Here is a 9,451-nt window from a genome sequence, read left to right on the forward strand (position 1 = left end):
TCAAAAAAGTTTATAGTCAAGACTTCATAATGTATTCACTGTATTACATGAATTTCAAATGCAAGCAAAACTAATCTGTGGTGACTGAAATTAGAACAGTGGTTACCTTGGGGGCCACTGACAAGAGGCACAAGAGAAGCTTGCTGGGTGCTGGAAAGGTTTTATATTCTGATCCGAGTGGTGGTGGTTCAGGTATAGTCATGTGGAAAGAGTCACGAAGGCTGTACACTTAAAATAGGTGGACATTAATGCTTCCAGCTCAGTATTTTTTTTTTTAATAAAAAAAAAAAAACACGGTATCTGGCCCAGATGGCTCTATTGAGAGTTCTAAAAGAGGCAAGAGGAAAGGCCAAGGGTTTCCACAGTCTGCGTTTCTGTTGTGAGCAGGCCTGGCTTACTCAGTCTTTGCTGCTCTCTGGGAGTGCCTGGAGCTATGGCACTGACCTGGGACAAGCTGAGAAGGAAACTCTTGGAAGGTGCATGTAGTTACTGATGAATGTTAATCTGTAGGCCTGGTGCACTGGGGCAGGATGAGCAGCCTGTCAGATGTCAGAATGTTTAACATCAAGATTTAGGATGTGCGGCCGGGCGCGGTGGCTCACGCCTGTAATCCCAGCACTTTCGGAGGCCGAGGCGGGCGGATCACAAGATCAGGAGATCGAGACCATCCTGGCTAACACGGTGAAACCCCCGTCTCTACTAAAAACAAAAACAAAAAATTAGGTGGGTGTGGTGGCGGGCGCCTGTAGTCCCAGCTACTCGGGGCCGGGGGTGGGAGGCTGAGGCAGGAGAATGGCGTGAACCCAGGAGGCGGAGCTTGCAGTGAGCCAAGATCGTGCCACTGCACTCCAGCCTGGGGGACAGAGACAGACTCTGTCTCAAAAAAAAAAAAAAAAAAAAAAAACTTAGGATGTGCGTCTGGCCTCTGTTTTGGAGTGCTGTGTTTTGGTTACCATGGCTGGTCATGTGGCAGGAAAGTGCCTATGTGACCATCTTCTTAGAACAACAGGTTTTGAGACCTGGGTGTTTCCCTGGGCAGAGACATCTCACATCTCTGTGGTTCACACCTGGAAAGAAACACACCGTGCAGCCTGCTCTCGGCCTCCCTGGACTTTGTCTATGTGTATCTTTCTCTCTGGTCCCGTGGTGTATCCTTCGCTTAGTCAACCTTAGCTGTGATATAACCTCATCAGGTCATGTGAATCCTTCTAGTTAATAACTGAAGTAGGAAGGGGTCCCGATTCATCCGCCATAGCCCCCAGCTCTGCCTCACTCAGGTCTGCTGTGCTCCCCTCTACATTTGCTCACAACCGCCTTCTCTCCCTAGAATTTTCTTCTGATCTTTAGTTCCCTGAATCAATATGCTTTCCTTTAATCTCTATAGCACTCAGGCTTTGGCTAAGGCAGGAAGCCAACAACCTATATGCTAGTTCACCACCTTGGGGCAAACCAGAAGTCACCCACTATTAAAAAAAATTGTTTATTGCTGACATATTTCGTTTTTATTTCTGTTTATCTGGTTATGTTGAAGAACTTCGTTAGTTCTTTCAATAGATTATCCACTCAGGCCGGGCATGGTGACTCACACCTGTAATCCCAGCACTTTGGGAGGCCCAGGTGGGTAGATTACCTGAGGTCAGGAGTTCGAGACCAGCCTGGCCAACATGGTGAAACCCTGACTCTACTAAAAATACAAAAATTATCCGGGCGTGGTGGTGCACGCCTGTAATCCCAGCTACTTGGGAGGCTGAGGCTGGAGAATCGCTTGAACCCGGAAGGCGGAGGCGGAGGGTGCAGTGGAATGGTATGGTGCCGCTGCACTCCAGCCTGGGCGACAGAGCAAGACTCTGTCTCAAAAAAAAAAAAAAAAAAGCCTTTTTTTACACTCCTCGATACCAAGGCTCTCTGGTGCTCACACTTAGCCGTGAACTGCTTGTTCACAGTTCTCAGTTTCTCACTTGCTGCAGATAGAGCATCAGGACGATTGAGCAGTGAGCAGCCACCTCGGCACTTTCCCTGGCATTGTCCCACCTCCACCCTGGATAGCCTTCAAATTCTGCATCATCACAGCTGCCACAGCATTCCCTCCTCCAGGACATTCCCAGGTCACCACTGATCAGATCTTTAGCAATGGAGCCACCACGCTGGGCTGGGATCTATTTATGCCACCTACTGACCAGAACACCAGAACACCTTGATGTGGGTCATTTTTCATTCATTTAGCTGGGCACGTGGTGGGTCTTTCCATCTAGAGATCCATGTTTTTTTCCTCCATGTTCTTTAATTCTTGGAACTATTACATTATTTCTTTGATAATTTTATTCACTTTTTTTTTTTTTTGAGACAGGGTCTTGCTCTGTTGTCCGCACTGGAGTGCAGTGGTACAATTATGGCTCACTGTAGCCTCAGGCTCCTGGGCCCAAGCAATCCTCCCACCTCAGCCTCCCGAGTAGCTGGGATTACAGGCATTTGCCACCAGACCTGGCTAATTTTTTTTTATTTTTAGTAGAAACAGAGTATTGCTATGTTGCCAGGCTGGTCGCAAACTCCTGGGCTCAAGTGATCCTCCCATCTTGGCCTCCCAAAGTGCTGGGATTATGGGTGTGAGCCACTGTACCCAGCTTGATTCACTCTTTTTTTTTGGTTTGCTTTCTAAATTCCTAGAAGTCTGATGTTGTACTTTCTTGGTCGAACCTCTAATTTTCTTTTCTCTCCTATTTTCCTACTTTGACACTCCTATGTTTGAGCAGATCATCGATTTTATTTTTCTATTCTTATTTGTTTGTTCAAAAATGTATATTGAGCACTTATTCTAGGTGCTGGAGATACAGCAGAGAAAAAGACAAAGCCCTTGTTTTTTGTTTTTTTTTCTTTTTTGAGATGAGGTCTTGCTCTGTCACCCAGGCTGGAGTGCAGTGGCATGATCATAGCTCACTGCAGCCTCAAAGTGCTGGACTCAAGTGATCCTCTGCCTCAGCCTCTCACATAGCTGGGACTACAGGTGCACACCACCACACTAAGCTAATTTTCTTTAATTTTATTTTTTTTTAAGATGGAGTTTTGCTCTTGTCCCCCAGGCTGGAGTGTAATGGCACAACATCGGCTCACTGCAACCTCTGCCTCCTGGGTTCAAGCGATTCTCCTGCCTTAGCCTCCCTAGTAGCTGGGATTACAGGCACCCGCTACCATGCCCAGCTAATTTTTTGTATTTTTAGTAGAGATGGAGTTTCACTATGTTGGCCAGGCTGGTCTCGAACCCCTGACCTCAGACAATCCACCTGCCTCAGCCTCCCAAAGTGCTGGGATTACAGGCGTGAGTCACTGCGCCTGGCCTTTTTAAAATTTTTAGTAGAGATGGAGGTCTCACTATGTTGCCCAGGATGATCTCAAACTCCTGAGCTCAAGTGATCCTCCTGTAACCCCAAAGTGCTGGGGTTATAGGGATAAGCCACTATGCCTGAACCCTTGTTGATTTTGGATTCCAGTTTTTTTTTTTTTTTCTTTAAGCAACAGGGTCTCACTCTATCATTCAGGCTGGATTGTAGTGACGTGATCACTGCTCACTGTAGCCTCCAATTCCTAGGCTCAAGAGATCCTCCTGCCTCAGCCTCTCTGTAGCTGAGACTACAGGTGGCGCCACCGTGACACACTTATTTATTTTGTAGAGACGGGGTCTTGCTATGTTGCCCAAGCTGGTCTCAAACTCCTAGCCTCAAGAGATCCTCCCTCCTTGGCCTCCCAGATACTGAGATGATAGGCATGGGCCACTGCGCCTGGCAGTTTCTTTTCTTAATTCTTCCCAGTCACACTGTGTGGTAGTGAGAGAAGGTGGTCAGTTGTTTTCACTTTTCTGAATATGAGGCCTTGTGAGAATCGAATACATGGTCCGTTTCCATCAAGAGTCCATGAGAACTGAAAAGGTTATGTTTTGTATGATGGTAGAGATTAATAAAATTGAACGAATGTTGATAATTTTATTCTGATTCATTCATTCATATTGCAGCAGCTACTATATCTAAGATACTGTGCAAACCATTGGGAGAAACAGTGGGTGAGCAGAAACAATTCCTTTTTTCACAGTCCTTGCAGGCAAGCTAGTGCTGGTGGTGCTAGTGGCAGACACTAATCACATCGCAGCCTCAATGGGATGCGTGCAACGCAGGAGAGGAGCAGAGTTCTAGGAGAGACTAAAATAGAGGAACCTGAGCTGGAATGCTGAGTCACAAAAGGCTTCCCTGACCAGGTGACAGCTGAACTGAGATCTGAGGGATGAGTTGGCGTGAATGAGACAAAGAGCCTAGAGATGGACAGCCCAGGCCTGGGAAATGGCTTGTGCAGATGCCCTGTGGTGGGAGAGAGCATGGTCTTCAAGGAATGGAAGAATGGCTGGAGGACGGAGCGGGAACACGGCGTGAGATGAGCTGGAGAGGCGGACAGCCATCTCGGGTACAGTCCTATGGGTCACATAGATTTCTGCCTTGTCCTGGAAGTGACAAGGAAGCCTTTGGCGCATTTGACTCAGAGAGATGGTGTACAAATGTTTTTGTTTGTTTGTTTTTACAGAGTCTTTCTCTGTCACCCAAGCTAGAATGCAGTGGCACAATCATAGCTCTCTGCAACCTCAAACTTCTGGCCTCCAGTGATCCTCCCATCTCAGCCTCCCAAAGCACTGGGATTACAGGCATGAGCCACCACACCTGGTCTGAAAATATTTGTTTTGAGGCCAGGTGCGGTGGCTCATGCCTGTAATCCCAGCACTTTTGGGAGGCCAAGGCCGGTGGGTCATCTGAGGTCAGGAGTTTGAGACCAGCCTGGCCAACGTGGTGAAACCCGGCCTCTACTAAAATACAAAAAATTAGCCAGGTGTGGTGGCGCATGCCTGTAGTCCCAGCTACTTGGGAGGTTGAGGCAGGAGAATCGCTTGAACCCGGAGGCGGAGGTTGCGGTGAGCCGAGATTGCACCACGGTGCTCCAGCCTGGGCGACAAGAGTGAAACTCTGTCTCAAAAAAAAAAAAAATTGTTTTGAAAAGATCCCCTCTGGCTGTGGTGTGCAGCGCAGTGAGGAGGTGTGGAAAGAGGAGGTTGGTCAGAGTGGAGAGTTAGGAGGCTCCTGTAATGATCCAAGAGGGAGATGATGGTATCTTGGATCTGGGTGGAGACAGGAGATGGAAAGAAATGGATGGATCCCTGGAATGGCAGGCAGGTTAAACAAACAAGAGTCAGTGATGCATTTCCTGGTCATGGGGATGGAGGGAGAAGGGCTCTGTCCTGTCCAGCTGGATGAATGGTGGTATCACTCCGGAAGAAAAGGGAGAACTTCATTAGTGGTGCTGGGGAGAACAGATGATCGATCTGTCTTAGGCACTATGAGCTTTTTCTCTCTATACACATTCTTTTTCTACTTGCATTGTCAGAGACTGAAAGAAATTGTGTTATTCTTCAATTACATTTTTATTTCTATCGATTTCTCGTGTTGCAGTTTTGCTTATGTAGTTTGATGGTAAGAGTTTACAGCAGTGTTACATTTTGAAGATTTTAATTTTTAATTTTTGAATAAAAATATTGGTATGTGTTCAAAATTGTAGGCAGCCTCTATGACTCCCAATTCCCTCTCCAAAGGTAACCCTGGTTTCTAGCTTAGGATGCATAAGAAAATATACAGTATAGGTTATGGTCCTCATCTTTATTCATTTCATTCCTGAATAATAATCTGTACACATACACATTTTGTTCAGTTAATGACAATTTTGGTTGTTTCTTCTTTTTGGTTATTAATACTGCTATGCACATGTATGTATAAGTTTTTGGTAGATACAGATTTTTAATTCTTGTAAACTGTAACTATGAATGAAACTGCTAGATCATATGGTAACTATGGTACCTTTGGTGGAACTGTGAAGCCATTTTCCAAAGCAGCTGCACCATTTTATAATCCCACCAGCAATGGTGGTTTTTTTTTTAATTTTTTTTTAAATTTCTATTTATTTTTTGAGATGAAGTCTCATTCTGTCACCCTGGAGTGTGGTGGCGCGATCTTGGCTCACTGCAACTTCCACCTCCCGGGTTCAAGTGAGTCTCGTGCCTCAGCCTCCCTAGTAGCTGGGATTACAGGTGCCCACCACCACTCCTGGCTAATGTTTGTATTTTTTAGTAGAGACGGGCTTTCGCTGTGTTGGCCAGGCTGCTCTCGAACCCCTGGCCTCAAGTGATCTGCCCACCTGGCCTCCCAAAGTGCTGGGATTACAGGTGTGAGCCACCCTGCCCGACCCCAACAATGTTATGAGGGCTCCATTTTCTGTACATCTTTGCTAACTCTTGTTATTGTCTTTAAAAAGTTATTGTCATCCTAGTGGGTGTGAAGTGATGTCTCACTGTGGTTTTGATTTGCATTTCTCTAATGGTGCTGAACATCCCTTTCATGTGCTTATTGGTCATTTGTGTGTGTGTGTGTGTGTGTGTGTGTGTGTGTGTGTGTGTGTGTGTGTATATTTTTTTTTTTTTTGAGATGGAATCTGGCTCTGTTGCCAGGCTGGAGTGCAGTGGCACGATCTTGGCTCACTGCAACCTCTGCCTCCCTGGTTCAAGTGATTCTCCTGCCTCAGCCTCCCGAGTAGCTGGGATTACAGGCACGCACCACCACGCCTAGCTAATTTTTGTATTTTCAGTGGAGACGGGGTTTCACCAGGTTGGCCAGGATGGTCTCGATCTCCTGACCTCGTGATCTGCCCACCTCAGCTTCCCAAAGTGCTGGGATTACAGATGTGAGCCACCGCGCCCAGCCCATTTGTATATATTTTTTGGAGAAATTTCTATTTGTATCTTTTGCCCATTTAAATAACTGGATTGTCTTTTTTATTGTTGAGTTGTAAGAATTCTTTTTTTTTTTTTTTTGGGACGGAGTCTCGCTCTATCGCCCAGGCTGGAGTGCAGTGGCACGATCTTAGCTCACTGCAAGCTCCGCCTCCCGGGTTCACGCCATTCTCCTGCCTCAGCCTCCCGAGTAGCTGGGACTACAGGCGCCCGCCACCGCTCCCGGCTAATTTTTTGTATTTTTAGTAGAGACGGGGTTTCACGTGTTAGCCAGGATGGTCTCGATCTCCTGACCTTGTGATCCGCCCGTCTCGGCCTCCCAAAGTGCTGGGATTACAGGCGTAAGCCACTGCGCCCGGCCCAAGAATTCTTTATATATTTGGAATACTAAATCCTTATCAGATATATGATTTACAAATACTTCCTCCCAATTTTTGAGTTGTCCTTTTTTTTTTTTTCTTTTTTTTTTGAGACAGTCTTGCTCTGTCACCTAGCCTGGACTGCAGTGGTGCCTATAGTTAGTTCACTGCACTCTCAAACCCCTGGGCTCAAGCCATCCTCCCACCTCAGCCTCTCAAGTAGCTAGGACTACAGGTGCATGCCACCATACTTGGCTAATTTTTTTTTGTAGTTTTTGTAGAGATTGGTTCTATGTTGCCCAGGCTGGTCTTAAACTCCTGAGCTCAAGCAGTCCTCCTGCCTTGGCCTCCCAAAGTGTTGGGATTACAGCCATGAGCCACTGCACCTGGCCCTCACTTTCATTCTTGAAAGATATTGTCACTGGATATAGAATTCTGGGTTGACACATTTTACTTTTTCTAAAGGTGTCATTCCATTGTCCTCTAGTCTTCACTATTTCTGATGAGAATTTTGCTGAAATTCATGTAAATCTATTGTTGTTCCCCTATGCAGTGTGTCATTTTTTTTCTTGTTGCTTTCAAGACTTTCTATGTTTAGTTTTCAGACTATGAAGTCCCTGGGTGTGATGTTCCTTTATTTATTTTGCTTGAGATTTGCCATGTTTCTTGACTCTTTCCCCATATTTGGCCATTTTTTTTTTTAAACCTTTCTGCCTCATTCTCTCTTCCCTCATTCTGTGACTCCAACTATATATATGTTAAGACTGCTTGACACTGTTCACAGATAACTGAGGCTCTGATCATTTTTTCTGTATCTTTTCTGTTTTTTAGATTGGATATTTCAGGGTTTGGGAAACTGGCCACAGGTGGAATGTTTATTCTCATTTACAGTGGCTGCTTGCTTCCACACTATGATGGCAGAAATGAGTAGTTATAAAGGGGATTTTTGACCCACAAAGCTAAAAATATTACCTGACCCCTCACAGGTTTACTAATCCCAGCTCTATTGCCAGTTTAATGATTCTTTAATCTGCCAATGTGCTGTTAATCCTATCTAGTGAATTGACTTCATGTGTTGTATTTTTAAGTTCTAGAATTTTTATTTGGTTCTTTTTGTCATGATTTATCTGCTGACAATTCCTATTTGCTCATTATGAGCATATTTTCCTTTACATCCTGGAGCATGGTTATAATTACTTTAAACATCTTGAATGTTAATTCCAACATGTCAGTCATATCAGAGTCAGTTTCTGTCAATTGCTTCTTGAGCATAGATCACATTTTCTTGTTCATATGTATAGCAGTTTTGAATTATATAATTGCAGAAAATCTGGTGAAGTGTTTTTTTTTTTGTTTTGTTTTGTTTTTTTTACAGCAGGCATTTAACGGCTGAACTCAAGATTTAAAACTTTGATTCCAGCCAGGGACAGTGCCTCATGCCTGTAATCCTAGCATTTTGGGAGGCCAAGGCGAAAGGATGGCTTGAGGCCAGGAGTTTGAGACCAGTCTGGGCAACACAGCAAGACCCCATCTCTACAAATAAAAACCTCCCAAGTAGTTGGTGGTATGTGCCTGTAGTCCCAGCTATTAATACTTGGGAGGCTGAGCTGAGAGGATTGCTTGAGCTTAGGAGATCAAGGCTGCAGTGAGCTATGATTGTACCACTGCACTGCAGTGTGGGTGACAGACACAGACTTTGTCTCAAATTTAAGAAAAGGAAGGCGGCCGGGCTCAGTGGCTCACGCCTGTAATCCCAGCACTTTGGGAGGCCGAGGTGGGTGGATCACGAGGTCAGGAGATCGAGACCATCCTGTCTAACACGGTGAAACCCCGTCTCTACTAAAAAAAATACAAAAAATTAGCCGGGCATGGTGGTGGGCGCCTGTAGTCCCAGCTACTCTGGAGGCTGAGGCAGGAGAATGGCGTGAACCCGGGAGGCGGAGCTTGCAGTGAGCCGAGATTGCACCACTGCACTCCAGCCTGGGTGACAGAGCGAGACTCAGTCTCAAAAAAAAAAAAAAAAGAAAAGAAAAGAAAAGGCAAAACACAAGCAAAAAAAACCCTTTGATCCTCCTCTGGTGGGCAGCAGCTGAAATTTGTCTTTATTTCTTTTGGCCTTAGCTGGGCTGTTTAGAGTCTGCCCTCTGTGTATTTCAGAAATCAGATTTAGGCAGGGCTTATACATGGTATTTTCTGTATTTCATGTATATTTTAAAGTTGTTTTTAGCCAGAGGATTGATTTGAATAACAGCCCAGTATTACTGGGGATCAGAACAGCAGC

At 45.4% G+C, this 9,451-nt stretch overlaps 1 annotated feature.

Moving 5' to 3' along the window:
• Positions 352-567: a silencer, noted in NCBI's record as "fragment chr12:121185508-121185723 (GRCh37/hg19 assembly coordinates)". NCBI's record gives its function as "represses an EF-1alpha promoter that drives an FKBP-Casp9 reporter gene in an ReSE screen in K562 erythroleukemia cells {active_cell/tissue: K562}" and the evidence as "EXISTENCE:reporter gene assay evidence [ECO:0000049][PMID:32094911]".

Source organism: Homo sapiens, chromosome 12, assembly GCF_000001405.40.
Source record: "Homo sapiens chromosome 12, GRCh38.p14 Primary Assembly".
NCBI lineage: Eukaryota > Metazoa > Chordata > Mammalia > Primates > Hominidae > Homo > Homo sapiens.